This window comes from Homo sapiens, chromosome 2 (genome assembly GCF_000001405.40).
Source record: "Homo sapiens chromosome 2, GRCh38.p14 Primary Assembly".
Classification (NCBI taxonomy): Eukaryota; Metazoa; Chordata; class Mammalia; order Primates; family Hominidae; genus Homo; species Homo sapiens.
The window spans coordinates 237,302,311-237,325,915 of NC_000002.12; the positions used below are offsets into that span (position 1 = coordinate 237,302,311).

A 23,605-nucleotide genomic window follows, 5' to 3' on the forward strand; every position below is an offset into this window, starting at 1 on the left:
GTCTGGGATACCTGTGTGCCAAGTGTTTCTACGGTTCTATTAATATAACTCCACCTCAATATTATACAAACTATGCACTAAAGGTAGTTTAGTCTCCATCAACATACTTCATCATATGGTTTGGCTATGTCCCCACTCAAATCTCAACGTGAATTGTATCTCCCAGAATTCCCATGTGTTGTGGGAGGGACCCGGTGGGAGGTAATTTAATCATGGCGCTTGGTCTTTCCTGTGCTATTCTTGTGATAGTGAGTAAGTCTCACAAGATCTGATGGGTTTATCAGGGGTTTCCACTTTTGCTTCTTTCTCATTTTCTCTTGCCGCCACCATGTAAGAAGTGCCTTTTGCCTCCCGCCATGATTCTGAGGTCTCCCCAGCCATGTGGAACTGTAAGTCCAATTACACCTCTTTCTTTTGTAAATTCCCCAGTCTCAGGTATGTCTTTATCAGCAGCATGAAAACTTACTAATACAGTAAATTTGTACCAGTAGAGTGGGGCATTGCTGAAAAGATACCTGAAAATGCAGAAGCAACTTTGGAACTGGGTAACAGGCAGAGGTTGGAATAGTTTGGAGGGCTCAGAAGAAGACAAAAAAATGTGGGAAAGTTTGGCACTCCCTAGAGACCTGTTGAATGGCTTCAACCAAAATGTTGATAATGATATGGACAATAAAGTCCAGGCTAAGGTGGTCTCAGATGGAGATGAAGAACTTGTTGGGAACTGGAGTAAAAGTGACTCTTGCTATATTTTAGCAAAGAGACTGATGGCATTTTGCTCCTGCCCTAGAAATTTGTGGAACTTTGAACTTGAGAGAGATGATTTAAGGTATTTGGCAGAAGAAATTTCTAAGCAGCAAAACATTCAAGAGGTGACTTGGATGCTGTTAAGGCATTCCATTTTATAAGGGAAGCAGAGCACAAAAGTTGGAAAATTTGCAACCTGACTATGATAGAAAAGAAAAACCCATTTTCTGGGGAGAAATTCAAGCCAGCTGCAGAAATTTGCATAAGTAGCAAGGAACCTAATGTTAATCCCCAAGACCGTGGGGAAAATGTTTCCAGGCCATGTCAGGGACCTTCATGGCAGCCCCTCCCATCACAGGCCTAGAGGCCCAGGAGGAAAAAGTGGTTTCATGAGCCAGAGGGCCAAGGGTCCCTGTGCTGTGTGCAGCCAAGTGACTTAGTGCCCTGTGTCCCAGCTTCTCCAGCCATGGCTGAAAGGAGCCAACATAGAGCTTGGGCCATGGCTTCAGAGGGTGCAGGCCTCAAGCCTTGGCAGCTTCCATGTGGTGTTGAACCTGTGGGTGCACAGAAGTCAAGAACTGAGGTTTGGGAACATCCTCCTAGATTTCAGAAGATGTATGGAAACACTTGGATGCCCAGGCAGAAGTTTGCTGCAGGGGCCAGGTGCTCATGCAAAACCTCTGCTAGGGCAGTGCAGAAGGGAAATGTGGGGTCGAGCCTCCACACAGAGTCCCTACTGAGGTGCTGCCTAGCAGAGCTGTGAGAAGAGAGCCACTGTCCCCCAGACCCCAAAATGATAGATTCACTGATAGCTTTCACTATGTGCCTGGAGAAGCCAAAGACACTCAATGCCAGCCCATGAAAGCAGCTGGGAGGGAGGCTGTACCCTGCAAAGCCACAGGCATGGAGCTGCCCAAGACCATGTGGATGTGAGACATGGAGTCAAAGATCATTTTGGAACTTTAAGATTTAACTGCCCTGCTGGATTTCAGATTTGCATGGGGCCTATAGCCCCTTTGGTTTGCCCAGTTTCTCCCATTTGGAATGCCTGTATTTACCCAATGCCTGTACTCTCATTGTATCTAGGAAGTAACTAACTTTCTTTTGATTTTACAGGCTCATAGGCAGAAGGGGCTTGCCTTGTCTCAGATGGGACTTTGGACTTGGACTTTTGGGTTAATGTTGAAATGAGCTGAGACTTTGGGGGACTGTTGAGAAGGCATAATTGGTTTTGAAATGTGAGGACATGAGATTTAGGAGGGGCCAGGGGCAGAATGATATGATTTGGCTGTGTCCCTACCCAAATCTCAACTTGAATTGTATCTCCCAGAAGTCTCGCATGTTGTGGGAGGGACCTAGTGGGAGGTAATTGAATCATGGGAGCTGGTCTTTCCTGTGTTATTCTTGTGATAGTGAATAAGTCTCATGAGATCTGATTAGTTTATCAGGGGTTTCCGCTTTTCCTTCTTCCTCATGTTCTCTTGCCACCACCATGTAAGAAGTGCCTTTCTCCTCCCACCATGATTCTGAGGCCTCCCCAGCCATGTGGAACTCTAAGTCCAATTAAATCTCTTTGTTTAGTAAATTGCGCAGTCTCTGGTATGTCTTTATAAGCAGGGTGAGAACAGACTAATACACTTCATATAAAATATTGGAAGAAAATAAGAGGATAGGAAATAAAAATTAATTATAACATGCAGGTAAATGCATGGCACAGAAAAAAAAAGATACTGGAAAATGCTTCAGTCCTCATCTCTGATCATGAGGTGACAGCTAATGGCCAGGACTTTCCTCCTCTACTGTCTGTTCTGGAGTCCCACTTTCCTGACTTGGCACCTAAGTTGGTTGGTTCCCAGCCAGGGAGGAGCCTTAACCTTCATGGCCAAGGGGTATGAGTCATTGGTGATTCTGCCTCTATGGAATTGTAATAGTCTTCAATTAGCCTTAATTACTGTGCTTGGTGGTTCAGGGAGGCATAACAGGAAATCCTGTGGGCTCCAGCTATACTCCTCTCTACCCAATTTGAAGCAAATTGCTTATTTGCCCTTGAGGGTCAGGATCAATCATGCAAGCCCCCCATAACCCACTTCTTTGCTGATTGGTTTAGTAGCAGAATGAACCCTGAATGGCCAAGTAGCAGTATCGCTTCCTAATCAATGAATGGAACCATTATTGTAAGACCTAGTAGAAGCAGTCCTCCCTTTAGTATCTTAGAGATACTAAAATCTCTAAGATTCCAGTGTCTTGGGAACAAGAAGAAAAACAAAACTATAACTGGATTATCAGCAATAACCCTCTGGGAAATTCCATGTCTCCTTCCATCTCATTGTGTTTAGACCCACAGTTATTAGTTATGGAAGAACCAGCACCAGTATATTGGTCTTTGGCTAAGAGAATATAGGCACAGCCTACAGGACAATGCTACAAAATCACACGGTGCTGTTCCCCAGCTGGTGCAGACCTGAGTTTTTAGTAAGCCATTTATGTTAGTCATTAGGAGGTCACATATATATATATTTGGTTCTCCTTCATCACACCCTGGAAGCTAATTTCATCCTTGTGATGACTTGGCCAATGACATGTAAGGGTACATGCTAACTCACACTGGGGTAGGAACTGCCATATCTTTTTTCCCCTTTCTTAGTAACTGTGGAAGCATTTGTCAAGGCAAAGCCTCCATCAGCCTGAGTGCAGGCTGGGTTGGACCTGAAGGGTGAGTGAGAAATAAACCTTTGTTGTGTTTGGGGTTACTTATTACTTCATCATAACCCAACCCATTGTAACTGATTCACTATTTCTTCTACAAGGTCAGTTGCTCCTGGGCCATGGGACAGGATAAGATCAATGGGACTTCATTTACTGGAAAGTGATTCCCTCAATTAGAAGCAATGCTGTGTGACATCCCAGGACAGTGGATAAGCCATTCAGTAAGTCCATGGATGGAGGTCCAGACAGCATGGTAACCAGGAGAAGCAAATCCACATTCAGACTGTGTCCACTCCAAGTAAAACAAATCATTGCTCTCTTGTAGTGGCCTAAGTTCAGTGCTATCAACTCCTATGGGGTCATTGGTCAGTCCCACTGTGCCAGGTCAGGAGGTCAGGGTGGTCATGGTTGCTGGCAAATCACTCATACAGCAGCAGCAAAGGTGACACCAGCTGTGATGAAGTGGAGTCCGTATCACAGGTCCCACTCACAGGCATCATCCTAAGTGCAAGGTCACATGGTATTTTGAGCCCATGATCACTGGAGAAAAGACGCTGACAAAGATCCCAGGCTGAGTCATCCCAACCCACTGTTTATTGAAAGAACCCCCTATAGCTTTCAGATGTAGTACAAATATCCTCGGCTTTGGGCTCATTTCAAAAGGACCGGCCATTTTCCCCAAACCTCCTCTCTAACCCCCCTGTCCTACTGTTTTTGAGTCCCTGACTCCTGTGTCATAGCCCATAAATCTGCATAGATCCTCACCTGCTGCCATTTCTTTACCCCTGGTTACCACAGAAGCAGTAAATGTGAGAAGGGCGGGGTACCTAGCATGTGACCCTTCGTTGTTATTTTCCTCCCCATTAGGATTACTGCATACCAAGTGGACAGATGCTTGCTCAATGTTCTGCCTTTGGGAGCTCCTTTCCTTCTCTGCTGTCCTTCAGGATATCCCGAGCAAGGGCTTAACATGGCATCTTTCAGTTGTCACATGGTGTTGGCAAGTCTTGCCTTCACTCCACTGAATGGTGGAGTGATGCTGGCACACCTGACTTGTGACTAGGTGGGCTGGGTCACATCTGGCTTGTGACTGGTAACCTAGATGGTGTGGCCTGTCGTGCATGTCAGGAGCTGTTTCCTAAAGGAGAGTCCTGCATGCTCAAGGAAATGTGGATTAGCTCCAAAATCCTGAGGAACTCTGCCTTGACCCCACCAGTCATGATTTGTCATAGGTTTCACCCAGCTTCCTCACATCCATGAAGAATTTGAGAAGGGTTCGGTGCGCTGGATCTCAGAGACATGTATGGGACCCACAGCAGGTCCCCATGTGCTAATTTCATGTGTGTGTCTTATAATAAACTACAAAATCTTTAAGGAAAACAAGGGAATAGCAGTAACAAATTTAAAAAAGAATATAAAGTCTGAAGTTTACAAAGTTAATTTTTAAGGAAATGAAAACAACAATTAAGCAACCTAAAAAGCTTTTAAATTTAGAAAGTGAAATTCCGTAGCATGAACCGAGGGTACGGACAAGAGAAGCTATTAAAAAGGATCCAAAGGTTATAAAAATAAAATTTCTCAAGGATTCAAGAGAAATAAAACAAAAATAATGTCGAGGCTTATGATTATGGAATAAAGCCAAAAAGAACTGAAAGGCAGGGATACAATAAGATGACAATTTTGATTCCAGTTCCTACTTGACAAAGACTAAAAGCACCCTCTGAATGGTTGCAATGGCCCCTGTGACTTCCTGTGTAGTAGGAGACCGGGCGACATCAAGTTGGCATTAAATCACACACTTGGCTTCTGGCCTTGCTCAAGCTAGGACATGGAAGTGGTGGTCTTTACAGTGGAGGCAAGTTTGCCCTCTGCAGGACTTTGGCTCAGAACCGCAACTATCCCTAGAGACACCCTAATGCCCTGCACTGTCCAGCAGGCAGCAGCAGCTGCCCCTTCTCTCCCCATGCCGTGCACATGTGCTCGGCAAGAGGCTCTCTGGGTCTGTGAGGGCTGCACGCGCAAGCTAACCCAAACCCTGCTCTCAAAGACATCAAGGAATAATAAGGAATAACAGTTATGTGCAAAAATGGCTGAAACCCAAATGTCTGCTTTCTCCACCCCACTAGCCTCCAGTCTTGATCTCCCATTTGCATGGGATGTTGTTGTTTTGGTCCCAGTCAACTTTGAACTCATTGATTTCACACTGTGCCCCCTTATTGTAGTTTTACTCAAACTGTATGGGCGCACAGGAAGCAATGCCTTACATGTGCCACACATCACTGGAAAAGCCCCCACCAGCCGCCCACTCACCACAGTGCTGTCTGGCTCCCACCACTAAGTGCTTCTTACTGCTGCAGTTGGGCTCACTGAGCCAGTGTGGAGATTGGCATGGAATCCTTGAGATGTGCTCATGGCATCAATGCCACTGATGGGGAGAAAGAAGTGAGCTAGGCCCAGAGAACAGGTGGGCTATGGTGCAGTCAAATGGAGCCTCAGCTGATCTCAGACGAAGTCCTGAAAATGGAAGGGCTTCAGAGTTGGCTCAATTGAGGGACCATGACTTGGAACCCACTCATGACCAGTCACTGGACACAGGCTGCCCCCAAAGAAGGGGCACAATCTTGGGTAAGACCTGGGACCAAGGGTAACGCTCAGAGAGGGAGTCAGCTGGAAGCCACCAGCAGCCACCACTCCTGGCAGTGAGAGAAATGAGTGTCCCATCCTGAAGGAGGGTCTGGACAGTGCACCACAGCACCCACTCCACCCGGCCTCCCTGGTCCTTCGTGGCTTTCTCTCTGTACTTGCCGAGCACCCCAGGGTCACACTTGCGTGTGTGTTGGCGGGGGTTGCAGGGGTGAAGATCTTAACTCGAAGTGCCCAGTTCAGTGGCATTAAGTACATTTACACATTCACATTGCTGTGTAACCGCCACCTTCATCCATTCCCAGAAGTTTGTTCATCTCCCCAGACTGAAACTTCATGACCATTAAACACGAACTCCCCATTAACCCTTTATTTTCAGCCCTTGGAAACCACCATTCTATTTCCTATCCCTATGAATTGGACTATTTCAGGTTGCTCCCATAAGAGGAATAGTGCGGTATTTGTCCCTTTCTGACCGGCTTATTTTGCTTTCTTCTCTTCAACGTTCAGCCAGGTTGTAGGTAACATGGGTCAGAATCCCCTACTTTTTTAAGGCTGAATAATACTCCACCGTGTGGATAGACCACATTTTGTTTATCCATTCATCTATTAATATTCAGCGTCCTTCTTAGCATAGTGGTGTTTCTCCTGGTCTCTCCTTGTATAAATATTTATACCAATTGCTACCGAAAAACACACAATTCCCTCCTCATTTCTGAGTGAACTCTAAGTATCAGAGTGTTCTCAGCAAGCAGTTGGCAGGGGGAAGCAAAAATTGTTCTCAACCAGAAAACATTCACTGAAGAGCTGACCACTTGCCAAATTAGCCTCCATGCCTTCCCCTCTCCCTGCTTAACACTGCAGCTGCCATAACACAGTCAAACCATGTCAGGCGCAGCCATTCTCTTCCTGATTGGAGGAGGCTATTAATACAACAGAAATACAATGCAAATTAACTGCAAACTTCTTCAAAGAATGTAAGATTTTGTGTAGCAGGTGACAGTCATACTAGAGGACTTCTGGAATCACAAAGTCTGGTAGAACAGTTATCACTGAAAAGGGAAAAGTTAACAAAATTGGTGACATTATCAGTGACTCGCAACAAGACTTAATCCCAAAACATCTAAGGGATTAAGAGAGGCCTTGGAAAGATGATTAAATCCCTGGAGCATTTTGACAAGTGTGACTCTCTTCACGAACTTGCCAGAAAGTCAAATGAGAGAATGTTTCATACTTATCATGCAATATCGTGGTCTCACGTGAAGTGTAGCCTTAGCCTGACCCACTAGATATTTCAAAACAATAATTGCACAGCAGGATTGTTCTGCCTTGAGGAGAAGTTAGGAACAGGTTAGAATAAATTGTCAAAGAAATAAAGAAGAACATTTCTGAACTTCTAATCTAAAAAAAATACTTTTGACAAAATTCAACATTTATTCCTAATTGTAAAAAACAATACATTAAAAGAGAAAAATATTTAACATAAATATATATAACATAGTATATAACATGATTGCTTAACGTCTAAATTCAGAACCTAATACCAGAAAACAATGAATGAGACATTCTCAGTGAAGATAGAAATGCTTAATACCACACCATGATGTGTAAGTACTAGGAAGTTTAATAAAATAAGAAAAATAAGAGCTACAAATGTTGGAAATTAATATCAAAATACTATTTATAGCAAAATGATATGATAGTATACCAACAGATGGTGCTGGGACAATTGATTGATAATTTGGAAAAAAAATAAAATTCCTACATTAAACCTCCCTCCAAAAAAATCCACATCTCAGATATTTAAATTTAAAATTAAATAAAATTTAAATTTAAAAATACTAGGAGAAAATATGGGTGACAATTTCTTATGGTTTACTATGTGGTTATAAGTAACAGAAAAGGTTTCAACCTAAATGATGTAGAAAGTGAATTCATTATAATTTATGATATACTATCATTGCTCTTTCTACTAAAGGCCCGCATGGGACTGAATAAGACCTGGAGTGTTTTGGGAAATGAAGATGGCTTTGCTCTCGCTTCCCCTTCCCTTTTCATCAACCTCACAGTAAGTCCAGGACTTCTGCTGCACAGCTTCTGGGCTGCTTGTATAACTCACAAGCAGCCTTATTAGATCTCCTAGTCCCTGCATGTTTCAACCAAATAAGGCACTCTTCGAGACCCTAACAAAAAGAAAAGAAGCCTAAACTCTTGGGTGGACACCAATGGCCACTTCTCCCACGCCCCTCACAAGGTAAGAGGGGCAAACGCTCCTGTCTGGGCATCCCGCCGTGAGGGGCGCTGTTACGCCATGGTGGTGCTGCGCCCTGATGTTTGGGATATTTGGCAGCCTCTCTTTTTCTCCTTGGCAGGCCACTTAGAGCTGCGGTTGGCCCACTGGTTTTTGAACCCAAGGATGACCTGAGTGCTGAGAGCCCTGGGTCCTCAGCTCCCCACCTGAGGTTTCCCTGGCAGCGGAACCCTGGTGAGCTGCCTCTCAATTTCAGGTTGTGATATCCATGTATGAGTCACAGCCTGACATCTCTGAGCGTCAGCCACTCCTAAGCCCGACTGCCTAATATAACTATTGAGATTCAGTTTGCTCCTAGAAAGCAGAGTTAACCCTCGGATGTTGTCCTCTGCTGTGGTTCATTGAGCAAAACCTGGCTCCTGGAGCCCACATTATTAGGGAAGTGGGGCGGGATGTCAGGGGGCCATTCTCAGAGAAGGGGAACCAGGGGCTGAGCAGACGCCCAAACCGCATTCACTCTAGTGTTTTTTAACCTGGAATTAAAGATGGCATTTATAAGCACAGCAGCAGAGATGAACTTTGTAAGGAAAAAAAAAAATTAAAAGGTATGAGTTCAGAAAAATTTAAAACCATATAAATAAAAAGAAAATGATAAATACTTTAAAATTAGCAATATTTGTGAAAGTAATTCAATCAGTAAAGAAATATTTAAAGTAGAACAATAAATAGGCCAAAAGAAAAACAGTCTGGGCACGGTGGCTCACACCTGTAATCCCAGCACTTTGGGAGGCCGAGGCTGGTGGATCACCTGAGGTCAGGAGTTCCAGACCAGCCTAGCCAGCATGATGAAACCTCGTCTCTACTAAAAATACAAAAATTAGCTAGGCATGGTGGCAGGTGACTGTAATCCCAGCTACTCGGGAGGCTGAGGCGGGAGAATTGCTTGAACCCGGGAGGAGGGGTTGTGGTGAGCCTAGATTGCGCCACTGTACTCCAGCCTGGGTGACAGAGTGGGACTCCATCTCAAAAAAAAAAAAAAAAAAGAAAAAGAAAAAGAAAAGACAAAAAAAAAGAGGGGGCCCAAGCTCTTTGTCTGACTTTCAGACTGGGTTGAATTCAAAAGCAGCTGTGTGACTAAGAGCAATTACAAAACCTCTCTGAGCCTCTGTTGCCCATCTACAAAATGCAAAGCTCCCATCAATGTGGGAATAATTAAACGTGACACTGTGAGCCAGGCATGGAGCTCAATCCCTCAATCCCCTCCATCCCAGAGGAGCTATTGTTTCTGTTGCTGTTAGTTTGGTTGGTTGGTTTGTTTGTTTTCACTGTTGTTGTTTAGAATAAATTGTTTAAAATTTTAACTTCACTAGTAATTTTAACCAATCAAAATAATGCAACATCAATTTCACAAATCAAATTAGCAACAAAGATTTAGTAAAAATGAACATATTTTTAGATGAGAGATGAGACATTTAAAAGACCATTAGTGGGTTGGGTGCATTGGCTCACGGCTGTATTCCCAGCACTTTGGGAAGCTAAGGTGGGTGGATCACCTGAGGCCAGGAGTTCCAGACCGACCAGCCTGGCCAATATGGCAAAACCCTGTCTCTACTAAAAATACAAAAAATTAGCCGGGCATGCTGGTGGGCATCTGTAATCTCAGCTACTCGGGAATCTGAGGCACGAGAATCACTTGAACCTGGGAGGCAGAGGTTGCAGTGAGCTGAGATCACACCACTGCACTCTAGCCTGGATGGCAGGGTGAGACTCTGTTTCAAAAACAAAAACAAAATATAAAATACAATACAATACAATAAAAGACCATTAGTGGGCGTATAAGTTGGTGTAGCTTCTCTAGCGGGCAGTTTGATGATGCATCCCAAAAGACTTTAAAACATGAGCCATCTTGGACACACATATTTCATTTCTTGCAATTTGTCCTGAAGTAACAAAAAGAGAACTGGGTAAATAGCTATGCAAATGTTACTCATCGCTATGTTGTGATAAAAGTGTGCCATCACTGTGGAGTGAAAAAGTAGAAACGACATAGGTGTCCAAGAAAATGAGACGGCGTGACAGTGGTACACGCATACCTATGAAAGATCAGGAGTTTATGAAAACCAAGCTGCAGAATCATACTCAGTCACGAGAAACACAACCGTGATCTCATTAGGAAGGACCGCCGAATACTGGACACTGCTGGCCACATTCTTCTCCTTGATGTTCTCTCCCACCCTCACTCAGTTTCCAGAATCCACCCTCCCACCTCCTTCTTCCTCTCTTCCATTCCCCTTGAAACCTGCGGAAGGCCCCATCCCTGTGTCCATCCCGAAAGGCAGATGCTCCTCAGTGGCCCTTGCCTCTCTTTGCTCACTATACATTCTCTCTGGGTGACAGCATTTGAATCCAAGGCTTCCTTGCCATGCTTGGATGAATAGATCTAACTGCTGGCTAATTAGCTTGTACCCCATAAGGACTCAAAAGCAGGATGCATTAATTTTCTTGACCATTGCATAGCTCATCATGTGTTCCCTGTCTCAAGAACGGTTCCACCATGCACCCAGACAGTTGGGCACCCTTGTCGCTCAGCCCTCTCCTCACCAGACACATCCAGCCAGCCACCAGCCCGGATCCCCTCATTGTCTCCTTCCCATCTCTTCAATCCCCCACCCCTTCCCTTGCCCAGGGCTACAGTCCTCAGGAAAGCCTTCACATCTCTCTCTCTAGACTGTTCACGTCCTCCCTGCTCCACTTGACATAAACCTAATAGTTCATTATAAGGGAAAATGGAGAGTAGATTGTCCTGGATACTGAAATGCAATCATGTCCTCTGCTTCCTTAAACACTTAGTCAATGTTCCTCCCTCTGTGCTGTCTTAAACATAAACTCCTTTGTATGACAGACAGGGCCCTTCAAGACCTATTTGTCAGCTATCAGCCCTGCCAGATCTCCACTATCCCAGGAAGGGCCCCAATGACAAAGCTCATGCCCCCTAAATAATCCCCTCTCTCCAGAGACGTCAAGTGTTTGCACGTGCACAAGCACTCACCGTGCAGAAACGTCTCATCCTTTCAGCCCTACTGAAATGCCAGCCCTGCTACTCAGTCTCCCCAGGTGCTGTTGAGTAGACGTGAATGTGTTTCTCCTCAACTCCCAGGCTTCACCCTCACCTCAATTGGAACAAATATTATCTTGTCTTTACTTGCCTGTGCATCTGTCTCTCAATGCTATTTAAGAGCAAGGGCCAAGATTTTTCATTTTCTTATCCCCACTGCTTTTCACAGTGCGTGGTTCACAGAGGGTCTCTTGATGGCACGCATGCCTTCATCAAAGCTCCTATCATTTTGCACAGCAGTCATTGTTTATACATCTGTTTCCCCTGCTAGGCCAGAGAGACAGAAACTCTAATGCATTCATCCTTGTGGATGCACATCCCATAGCACAGACCATTGCTTGCTAACTACACACCAAAATGGTTACCAGACATTAAAACTTACACGTACGCCCGTGCCAGCATGATTGTTCTTGGATCTGCTTGGATTTTTTAATTACCAGATAGGATGATGACCAGTATAGGCCAAATCTCCAAGGCCAGTTGGAGCTGGAGGACCTGGTCTGAAGCATTCCTTCTAGAAGCTCCTTTCTTCAGGCTCTCCATTTATGGAAGCTTCCTCGGCATCTGGTGCCTAATAAAGCTTGGTCTCCTCTTTCCTCATGGCACTGGTTCAGCAGCACATCCAGAACGCGCATCTGCATTGTGTCAAGAACTCTGCTTATTCTTCATAGAAACAGGCTACTTAACACAACCGGACCTTCAGACAACTCCGGCCACTCTCACGCCGAAACACCTATGCATTCACTATAAAACCTAGGTCTGTCATCTGTACAGTCTTTCTGTTGGGGTCACATTCAATGATCTTTTGGTCAAGGGCAAGGGCATTCATTCCCAGGCCAGATGAAGCTTTGCGCAGCACTCTACAGAAGACCAGACACAGAAACATGTACTTAGAGGTGCATTTAACTCAGTGCCTCTAAACCAGAGATTGCAAGCTGGTGGCTCAAGGGCCAGAGTTGCCCAGAAGACGTTTATTTGGCAGGAGTGTATTCAAGTCTTCAAACCCCAATGCCTTTAGAATGGACACCTCTTCCTTATTTGCCTCAAGCCCCAGCAGTCCCTAGTGCTTTGCTCCTCCTCTGCCCAAGAGACCCACCCAGCCCTTGAAGACACAAGACTGTGACTCCACCTAGACCAAGTATGCTCCGTGAGCTCCAAAAGGACCCCAAGGGACTGAGGCTGAGGGGGGTCTCTGAGCCACCATCGCAGTGGCTGCCCTGGCTGCCAATACATCCCCTGTTATCACACATTCAACCCACTTTGAAATTGTCTAGTGAGAATCCCACTCCTGCTCCTGGAGCCTAAGGAGGCCTAAGCCTTGTGCTCAGGGAGGTCACAAAGGGAGTGACCCCGAGAGGCTCCAGAATGGTGCCCTTTCTCTGTACATCAACAATTAATTTGGGTTGGGGTTTGAGTAACAACTTCAGCCAAACAAGGGAATCAGCTGAGTCCTGATGAGGCTCCGCAGACAGTGCCTCCACTTCCACAGAAGACAGCCAGGCTGCGCGGCAGAGCCTGCTGAGCTGCACCCCGCTATTTTTAGTGCTGCTCTCTGCCACGCTGGCGAGGCTGTCCTGCTCAGTGGCAGGCAATGCGTTCCATGTGTGCAGGCTGGAATGCAGCGGCTGAACCAAGGCCAGCAGCAGAGCCTGTTTCCTTAAAAGGCAAGAGAAATTCAGATCACATGGCCACAGGGACAGGAGCATGGATCCTGGGACAGGAACGGATTTCCATCCTAGAGAGCTCTTCAGGGGCAAGTGAACTAACAGAGATCTGCTTATGAACGTGCTGTAGGTGAAAATGGATTTTTATATTGAAATTCAAATAAGTACAGGGATTTGAGCCGATTGTTCCATTGCATTCCGGTCGTCTCAGGAAAAGAGGTCCCTGTGTGATTTATTTGTGGCAGAGACCCTAGAGCCACTCATATAAATTCCCCTCAGACACTGACTTCACAAATCAAAGCTGTTTGGCCAGCTGGTTACAGCCTGATGTTAAGCAGACTCAGGCCTCAGCTCAAGCTTCTCCCAGGGCAACCTCGTGGAAAGAAACAGTTTTCTGAATATATTCTAAAACAGACTAGAATAGAATAGAATAAAACAGAATTAGAATATATTCTAATTTGAGACCTTTATTCTGAATATCATTAAACACGCATAAGTTTTTTCTGGAAACGGTTAATATTTATCTTTCTTATCCTGAAGTTGCATCTTACACTGAGTAGCATTCGTTCCCCCGCCCCATGAGGTGGGAAATTCAACAAACGACTCATTGTGTATAGATAAGGGCCAGGCAATCTATTGCCAAAGTCCTCTTTTGCCTCACAGAAAAACAAAGATAGAGACACTCTTGAGGTCCTTCTGCACAGCCCTAAACTTGTACTCAATCTTCGTACTGTTTTCCAAATCACTGTCTTAGGTCACAAGCATTAGACCTGGCCCAGGAATTAATGAAGGCCACCAGCAAATGAAGAAGACAGGAAAAAAGTGTGGTTAGGATGATGGGCACAGACCCCCAACATTCAAATCTAGACAGTCAGCAAAGTCATGTCTAGTTGAGGCAGTCAGGTTGACAGTCACATAAGGACCCAGTTTTCCTGTCCCACAGTGAGGAAACCACAATAGACTTTACGTGTCATTAAGTCTTATTACTTTAAGTGCTTCCCTTAAACAAAAACTAGAAAGCTTTGTTTCTGTTGTTTTGCCTCTTTTGGAAACTGTCAAGGGAGTTAGTAGGGAAGGTGATGCCTATACCTATGCCTATATAGGGTGAACTACAGACTCTTAAATGTCACTGATGACTGTGTGTCATGGCTGCATACACATGAACTTATACGGGAGCAGTGATGAACGCAGTCCTCCCATATCCTCCCCACCACAGCCCTCAGGTTCCCGCGTCTCTCCACAGGGGTGGGCTTAATTAACCTAACAGGGGTTCCGGTTGTTTTTGTTTTTTGTTTTTTGTTTTTTTGACGAAGTCTTGCTCTGTCACCCAGGCTGGAGTGTAGTGACATGATCTGGGCTCACTGCAATCTCCACCTCCTGGGTTCAAGTGATTCTCCTGCCTCAGCCTCCCAAATAGCTGGGATTATAGGCATGCACCACCACGCATGCATGGCTAATTTTTGTATTTTTAGTAGACGGGATTTCACAATGTTGGCCAGGCTGGTCTCAAACTCCTGACCTCAGGTGATCCACGGATTCTATTCTTATTCCCAACATTGGCTTAGAGGCATGCAACCCATTTCCAACCAATGGACTGCCAGGGGACATCTGCCAGGGAGCTTTCTGGAGAAAAGCCACAGAAAGGATGGTCTTCCTTCTTCCTTTAAATATCATTGTGTCCACATGAGACTTGTTACTAGCCTAAGAGTGGGGCCCAAGCTGAAAATAGTCCAGAGAGATGGGAAAACCTGGGTCCTTGATGGCATCTTTGACTCCTCCCACAGCCTGTGCTCTGGATTTCTGTGAAATGGGGACAACCAGTGACTTCGTGATCTAAGCCAATGCGAGATGGGGTTTCAGTTCCTGGCTGCTGAGAGCATCCTAACTCACTACATACCACAGCCCCAAGAATACTCTCTCCTTCCTGCTCTCTGTTTTCTAAACCATGAGCAGCATTCAGCACAGGTGACTGCTCTGTTCATTTTGACACAGCTTCTGCCAACGCTGTCCTTGCATGACACCTGTCTCTACTGATTCTCTTCTTATTTCTACAAACACTCCTCCTCAGCCTCTTTCACCAAGCCTGTCTTCTCTGCTCAACCTCTAACCGCCAGGGCACAGACAGGCCTCTCCTGACTCCCTGTCCCTCTTCATCTATACTCTCAAGCAATGAAATCGCACCATAAATCTAGGCTTCGAATATGGTATATTTCCAAACTGCTGAATGTATATCCTTAGCCCCACCCTCTCCTCTGAACTTCAACTGTCTTCCTCATATCACCGCTTCAAAGTTCAATAGCATCCTAAGTTCTAATACGCATGGCAGAATTTTTGATTGACTACCCCGCCTCCTCAAAGAATCACATGTCACACCCAGGACTGCCCGGCTTAAAGCTCCCAATGGCTTTCCATCACATTAAAGTACAATCCACAACTCGTTAGTTATGAAAGAGTTTTGGGGCCTGACTTGGCCATTCTCTCTCAGACTTCAACTCCAAAAATTTATCCGCTTATTTGTTTGACTCCAGCCACACTGGCCATCTTGCTGTTTCTCAAACATGTCACAGTCATTTCTCTACCCAGGATCTCAGATCCAGGCCCTCTCTGGATCTGGAATCTTCCTTCAGGTCTTCCCAAAGGTGGCTGTCTTGGGATTTTTTGTTGTTTGTTTTTTGTTTCTTGAGACAGAGTCTTGTTCTGTTACCAGGCTGGAGTGCAGTGGTGCGATCTCGGCTCACTGCAACCTCTGTCTCCCAGGTTCAAGCAATTCTCCTGCCTCAGCCTCCCTACTAGCTAGGATTACAAGCATGTGCCACCATGCCCAGCTAATTTTGTTGTTGTTGTTGTATTTTTAGTAGAGAGGTTTCACCATGTTGGCTAGGCTGGTCCTGAACTCCTAAGTGATCCACCTGCCTCGGTCTCCCTTGGTGCTGGGATTACAGACGTGAACCACCGTGCTGGCCTCTCTTGGTTTTTTTTTTTTTTTTTTTTTTTTAGCTCATAAATCAACTCTTCAGAAAGGCTTGCCTTAAACATGCAGTACCTCATCAGACAGCCTCCACTGCAGCTCACACGTCCTTATTTACCGAGGGTTTTGTGTGTTTGCCACCTACTTCCCTTGCCGTGTAAGGAACACAAGAGGAAGACATGTGTGCTGTCCACCCCACCCCTGCATCCCCAGTGCCTTGTCTAATACCTGACACATGTTAGGTGCTCAGCAAATGTTTGTTGAATAAGTGATTGAATGAAAGACTGTGTACCTGTCCAGGCTCTAGGCAGCAAGGGACAGAAACTTACTCTGGTTAACATATGAAGAAAATTGAATTATTGGAAAAATATTGAGTAGTTTATAGCAACAATGGGAAGGCTAGCAAATCAGGTTCAGTTCCACAAATGGAAAGGAACAAGGGAGTTGGGCAGCCCGAGCCACCACTGAAATTCACAGACACAGCACAGGCTCGATGGCTCTTGCTGGAGCCCCAAAACCACTGGACGCTGGTGGGGTCCTTTACCAGAAGTTTGCTGACCCCCATCTGGTAGAGGGCTGGGCATACCGTGGGCTACAGTTTAAGAGCTCAGAAGCTGTGCTTAATCCATAAATCACCTCATTTCTTTCCATCAGAGTAATCAGGAGTGGACAATATGTCTCTATTATCATCCTCATCTAGGCAACCCTCTCTAATCAACTTCATGTTAAAGACACTTCAATTTCTATAGGTTCATGTTCAAACTGGCTGATTGCTGATGCTGTTTATACCTTGCTCCTCGGCCCGCCTCTGTGCTCCCCTGCAGCTGTGCTGGCTGCTTCCAGGTGTGCTGACAGCACTCCACCTCAGTGGCCCACATCCCTCTTCTTCTCTGCTTTACTTTTCTAGCAACAGTGTGTGCAGGGCAGCCTCAAAATGCTGGCGTGTAACGCCCCCAGGTCAACCCCTGTGAGTGTCAACTTGACCGGATTGAAGGATACAAAGTATTGTTCCTGGGTGTGTCTGTGAGGGTGTTGCCAAGGGAGATTAACATTTGAGTCAGTGGACTGGGAGAGGCAGACCCACCTCAGTCTGTTTGGGCACTATCTAATCTGATGCCAGTGCAGCCAGAAAAAAGCAGGCAGAAAAACGTGGAAGGACTAGACTGGCTGAGTCTTCCCGCCTTCGTCTTTCTCCCGTGCTGGATGCTTCCTGCCCTGATACATCAGACTCCAAGTTCGTCGGCTTTTGGACTCTTGGACTTACACCAATGGTTTGCCAGGGGCTCTCGGGCCTTCGGTCACACACTGAAGACTGCACTGCCAGCTTCCCCACTTTTGAGGTTTTGGGACTCAGACTGGCTTCCTTGCTCCTCAGCTTGCAGACGGCCTATTGTGGGACTTCATCTTGTGATCGTGTAAGTCAATACTCCTTAATAAACTCCCTTTCATATATATGTCTATCCTATTAGTCCTGTCCCTCTAGATAATGGTGACTACTACAACCTCCAACCAAAGAGAGATGAGGGTCAGTCCATAAACGTCCAGCTTTCTGTTCCTCGTAGCATTCTCCCCACTTTCTCAGTGGGTTTCCAGGGAGACTGAGCCCCAGTTGCTCTCAAGGGTAACATGCTTTTAGTTAATGCACCATCCCTTGACTTGCCAACTTCTTTGTCTTGCTTCTCAGTGGCCTCATTTGTGCTTCCCACACACCTTCCGAAACAAATGACTGCAGCCAAAACTTGGTCAGGATCTGCTTTCGGGGAACTCAACATAAGACTGGTTTATGAATGACCAGTCAGCTTCTTCAACTACAACTCCTATCAAATGTAACTGTTTTAAATGGGGTCTTTCAAAACAAATATTCTTTCCCAGATATACAAGTTCTGACAATTTCTTTTTATTGTGCTATTTCTGTTTCTAACATCTCTTATAAAATTCATGTAAATGCTGGGAATTTACTAGTCTCTTGAAATCAAACATGCATAGCTAGCTCCCTTTGCAGATGCCCAAATGCCTTCTCTTAGATGACTTTTTGCAACAGCAGCATGGTTTTCACAGAGACATCTGACATAGGCAGGAAAACAATATCAGTTTTCCAGGTTGAGCGATACTTGGGTGGTGTCACCATCATGCACAGAGGCCCTTGAATCACTGGCCTTTTCCCATCACTCATGACCAAATGCCTTCAAGCTTTGACTACTAGATTCCAAAATACTACTTCTTTGGTGTTTTGGTCTTTAGCAGATTTATACCCACCATAAAGTTGGGTGGAAGACTAGGGAATACCACGGAAAAGGATTTCTGAACTGGCTCTGCATGGGATCTCAGGAATGCTGAGGGGTGGCCCAAAGCTGGAGAGCATGATTCCAAGAAAGCAGGAAGACCCCAGGAATCCCATGGCTCTTACAGCAGCTCACCATCAGTATTCATCTCCCAGGGAAGGGGAGGCACAGGCAGCGGCAAAGCTCAGACCCAAACTAAACCGAGGAGGGGTATGGCAGAGGGCAGCCTCTGGACTGGGCCCCCTGGCCTGGCAGTGTCAGCAGTCCCCAACTTCTCCGGAAGCCACACCCAGATAGGTGGAACCCTGAGAGCCTGGCTCATGAAGAGCAGCTAGGTCCAGCTGGAAATCTGACAACAATGGAAATTTGGCAGGAAAATACGAACCATCTCCTAAAAATGAACCACCATGGGGAAAGAAATTTAAAATGGTTCTTGAGGGTTCAAAACATTGGCTTTCTACAAAAAGCCTGGCACCCATTCATAAGTGCTGTGATTTCTTTTTAATTATGCAGAAAATCGTTGAGGGAATGAAAGTATAAAGCACTTGTATTTAAAAATCCAGCAAAGCTGCTGTTGAAAGGATTGAGATGTGCTCACAGTTGAGCACAAATAGACGTCCTCGTGACTCGGCCTTGGAGCCCAGGCAGGCCATACTCAGCCCAGGCCACCTTCTGCGCAAGCCCTCAATGCGTGCCAGAGCCCCCAGCTTCTCCAAGTTCTTTCCTAAGCCAGAGCAGCTCAGGATAATGAGAAGAGATGGAAAAGACTACAATGAAAGGAAGGAGAAGGATAGAGACTTGCTGTCTGAGAAAGAGTGACGGAAGGTCTTGGGGAGGGTCATGTGGAGGGCATGCTTTGTTCTGGGAAAAGACACATGGCTTAGATCTGACTTCCAGAGAAAGAGCCAGAAACATCTAGAGAATGGCAGTGAGCGTCCCACAGGAGCCAACCTTGGAACTCTGAGAGGGCTTCTGGGTCACCATAACTTGCCCAGATCCTCCATTAGAACATAGCTGGGTGAAAAGGACCACTCTGACCCTCTGTTTCATCATCTTTAAAACTGGAACAATGACCGCTACTGAACGGCACCACCTAAGATGTGTGTGAAACACCTAGTACAGCACCTGACCCACAAAGGCTTCTGGATAAAGGTGCGCTGTGTTCGTTACGGTCACACCAGCTGCTAGAACAGCCCAAGACCTCAGTCTCTTACTTCAATAGAAGTTTATTTCTTAGTCACAAAATCCAAAACAGGTTTTCTTTATTGGCAGGCCACCTTCCACGGGCCAGGCTGGAGGCTTCCCCAGAGAGAGCTGAGTGGATATGAGGGTCAGGGACATGTCAGGGTTCAAGAAAGGACACAGAGTCCTTGGCATAGTCTGGCAGAAGAATGTCTTGGGAAGAGAAATCCACGAGCTGTCAAGGGGTCAGGAATCCTGCAGCTCAGATCATGTTTTGCTGAACCCTAAGTTAGGACAGACAATGTAACAAAGGATTTTGTTTTATTTGCTCTGTGGGAATAAATGGGAGAAACTGCCCATCCACCACCTGAGCACCTTGCCTTACCCTAAGTTAGCAGCACACACAGCTTAACCAGCCACTCACCTGGACTTACATCACTTCCTGCTTCTCCTGAGTCAGGTGAGATGGTGGGTGTGATTGTCCCAGCAACCTTGAGCAGCCAAGGGACACACACAGAGAAGCAATGCATAGATAGAGTGAACCAAGAATGGCAGGGATGGGCATGCTGGCAACAGGAGGTGGAAAGGGAGAGAGGGTTCTGGAGCCCTTGGAAGTGAGTCTCCTAGTGATGGGCCCTGCCCCAGTCTATTGTAACACACCTTGAGCAGACCATCTAGGTATGTTACAAATATTGGTGTCCTACTCCTGTACCTTGGGCCTGACTACTCCCCCAAGTTCCACATGGGAGTATCTGCAGGTCTTTGCCAAGAACATTTTCTTACACTACAGAAGGCCCCTTTGCCAGTGTGCCTGCAAGCCAAGAGGACCAGAGCATGAATGCCTCAGTGACCCGTGGAAACAGGTGTATGACTACCCAAACTCCTTCAGCCCTCTGCTGGCCTACGAGGTGCAGTGCCACAGGTGCACCTCCCAGGGTTTCCCCGAGGGATTGGGCTCTGGGCACCCACAGTGGACGCTGACTATACACCTCTTAACAGTGCTCTCCCTTTGCTTGTCTCACTCCCCACTTCTCAGCCACTCAGTGACTTCCTTCACCTCCCAAATAAACTACTCACACCCATATCCTTAGTCCTAAGGGCTGCTTCCGGAGGAACCCAAAAAGTAAAACCAGATTGTGATGCTCATTTTAGGTCCATAGCAGATCAAGTCAATGGGGGTGGCGGGGGCAGGGATCCCTTGGGAAGTGGAGCACTCAGCCCACCGCTATGGGAGCTGGGCCCACAGCTCTCTGCTCCGCAAGTTCCTGCAAGAGGCTGGTGTTGGGTGCCTGGCAGATCCCAGGGTTGGTCACCAAGGGTCACAGCTCAGAGCACACTGACCTGAGCACCCCATGGTAGCTGCCGAGATAGAAGAGGACTGGGGAGGAGGTCATGGCGACCTTGTGGGGACTAAGTGGCGCTTCTGAAGAGGGCCACACTCCTCTCTCCTTTCCCAATAGACCAACTGGCAAATTCATCCCGATTTTACATAAAACATTTCTGCTGACACCCAAGATTCCTGTAATTCTACCCTCAGCACTTGTCAGGACATATGTATTTTATCCAATAAGTTGTTTCCTTTGTAAGTGGAACTCAAGTGCCACCTGAATATGTATTTGTTGGTTTCTTGTATTATTTCTGAAGAGAGAAAAAAACAGTCTTTAAGAAAAACAAAAAAATGAAAGACCTTGTGCTTTGAGACTCCAGAAAAGGGGTTGGGGGTCGTGGGGCAACACTGAATCTCTCAGCCATTGTGAGAGGAAGCAAATCAACCCCCTGGGAAAGGATCACTGTGGAGAGGAAGACAGGAGGAGGCTGAGGCTCTGAGGGCCAACCAAGAGTCAGAGGAAAAGATAGAAGCCAGCCTGACTCTGAAAATCAGAAACACTGCCGGGACCCAACAGCAGGAACACCTTCCGCTCGGCCATGGAGCACTGGAGCATGTGGGGCTGAATCCACAAAGCGGGGGATGCTTGTCTCCAGCCGGTCTCTTTGCACACTGGCTGATAAAGCTCTTTTGCCTCCTCCACTGGAAACGAAAGGCTGTTGCACAGCTCCATGGGGCCAGAACCAAACCCAGTTTCCCCAGCCTAGGGGTGATTCTGACAATCGCTGCTATGGAAACAAGACTGCCAAGAACGTCACACCCAGGAAACTTTCAATATACTTTATTAAAAAGTTTCTTTGTATAAATTTCCTAAACATTTTAAAATTAAAATTAAATCCCCTCCCTCCAGCACACACAAAAAAAAAACACACAACATTAGAGGAATGCCAAAAATATTCTCTATTACAACTTTTTTAAATTCTTTAATTAAGGCATTGGTCCCAACGGTGCACATAGATTAAGGGATTTTGCTTCCTTCTGAACTAGATCATTTGTTAGAGGCTTCAGAAAAAGAAAATTAGCTTGAAATCTAGTCTGGGAAATTGGGGGCAGGGAATGAAAAAGTTGGTCTCTTGTTTCTCCACGATACACAGGCTTCCCATCTAAAGTCATGCTTAACTAAAAGGGAAAAAAAATGAACCAAGCAAAAGTATATAGAGTAGCCGTGACATTTGCATTATTTTCTAGACTTTACATTTGCCTGCAACAGGCATAACATGAAACTCCAGAGGGAATTTGGATTGATAGGAATGTTCACATAAACACCAGCAGTGGCTAACTGTTACACAACATTCAAAGTATTCGAGAGAACTGCCTGGAGACAGAGAGCGAGGGTCCACAGACACATTAGCACCATACTGATAGGTCATGCAGCAGGATGTTCCCTCCCGAGTTCGAGTGTAAATCAAAGCATGAAATGATACAGTGCAAGGGAATCTACACCCGGAGCTTCTACAGAGACAAGTTGGCGATGGCTGACTCCTTCTTCTTCAAGAGGTATATGATGTTGGCCACCCACGCTTAGGTTCCCATCACACTGATGACTCCGGGTTTGGCGAGCACTGAGCGTCGAGAGAGGGGGTGGGTGGGGTGAGGTGAGGAGCCGAGAGAAGAGAGGAAAAGCCACATTACTGACCCAAAAGGGCACTGTCATTATCATGACACAGTCCCGCAGCCTCTGGTTTCCATCACCTGTCCCACTTTTCTACTCAGTACCATCAAAGGCCCTCTGTGACGTTCTTGGCCTGGGGCCCCGGGGCCCAGGGATGTCTGGGAAATCTGATCCCATTCTTTTGCCCTGCACCATCTACCAGGCCTTTATACGAACTGAACTCTCCCCATTCTGGCACTGACCCCAGGCTCTGTTCAAAGTGTTTATTTTATTACCAGTTGAACTGCACAATATAATGGAGATACTGGATGGCCCCAGTGACAACATTGTTATTTATAGGAAGCAAAACTATTTAAAAGATAAATTTGTGGGGGTTGTTTATCTTTGGCGTTATCTGTAGTTGTTCATTATATTATCTTCCCAGGAATCATTTTTGGTGCAATATTTTACAAATAACAGCAACTTAGTAACATTTCTGAAGAATGACAAGGGACAATATGTTTTTAGAAACCCAAAATAGGAATTCAAAAAGACATTTCATGGGTTGTATTTGAACGTCTTCCTTATCTGAGGATACACTTTATCTTCTTTTTCACATGTATCATAATCATTGCACTTCTAATATTTTTCAAGGTGACTTATTGACCTGAATCTCTTATTTGCAGAAGCCATAAACACAAGGAAGAATCACTTACCAGGAGCGCAAACCTTTTCACATTCTTTCTGTGATCCAAATTTGTTTTCGTTTCCACCACAACCTCCATACCAGAATCTTGCACAGCTTTTGGTGTTTGGATCATAGTACCATTTTAATATGAAATCCCTGCAAGTTCCTTCGTCTTTCGGCAACTTGCATATATCTTTAATAAAAACATGAGAAAAGGATATTAATGAGAACATGCGTGTTACTCGGCTCCCAGTGCTGGGGCTGACAGTCTGATGACCCTACTGTGGCAGAAGGAAAAAAAAGAAGAGCTTCCAGGTGAAAACTCCCTTAACCTGCTCAAATCTCCATTTCCTCACTGCCATATGGACATAGGAATTGCTTACA

The 23,605-nt window shown here is 45.8% G+C and overlaps 1 protein-coding gene across 3 annotated transcripts in view, besides 3 other annotated features; it reads right to left on the minus strand.

Moving 5' to 3' along the window:
- Positions 10,867-14,320: an enhancer, noted in NCBI's record as "VISTA enhancer hs1951". NCBI's record gives its function as "enhancer in: somite[9/11] | heart[11/11]" and the evidence as "EXISTENCE:transgenic organism evidence [ECO:0001131][PMID:17130149]".
- Positions 12,920-13,520: an enhancer, noted in NCBI's record as "H3K27ac-H3K4me1 hESC enhancer chr2:238223873-238224473 (GRCh37/hg19 assembly coordinates)". NCBI's record gives its function as "activates a minimal SCP1, AML or CMV promoter by ChIP-STARR-seq in primed H9 embryonic stem cells {active_cell/tissue: H9 hESC(primed)}" and the evidence as "EXISTENCE:reporter gene assay evidence [ECO:0000049][PMID:30033119]".
- COL6A3 (collagen type VI alpha 3 chain) overlaps positions 21,708-23,605 on the minus strand; it is a 90,147-nt gene continuing 88,249 nt past the window's right edge. For all 3 annotated transcript variants that reach the window (NM_057166.5, NM_057167.4, NM_004369.4), the window contains 2 exons: positions 23,250-23,414; positions 21,708-22,504 (listed from right to left, as the gene is read on the minus strand). In NM_057166.5, coding sequence (NP_476507.3) covers positions 22,464-22,504; positions 23,250-23,414 — 206 coding nt within the window. In that variant the 3' untranslated portion in view covers positions 21,708-22,463. The remainder of the gene's footprint in view (positions 22,505-23,249; positions 23,415-23,605) is intronic.
- Positions 22,198-23,397: an enhancer, noted in NCBI's record as "CDK7 strongly-dependent group 2 enhancer chr2:238233151-238234350 (GRCh37/hg19 assembly coordinates)". NCBI's record gives its function as "activates an origin of replication core promoter dependent on BRD2, BRD4, P300/CBP, MED14 and CDK7 cofactors, with strong dependence on CDK7, by STARR-seq in HCT116 cells {active_cell/tissue: HCT116}" and the evidence as "EXISTENCE:reporter gene assay evidence [ECO:0000049][PMID:35650434]".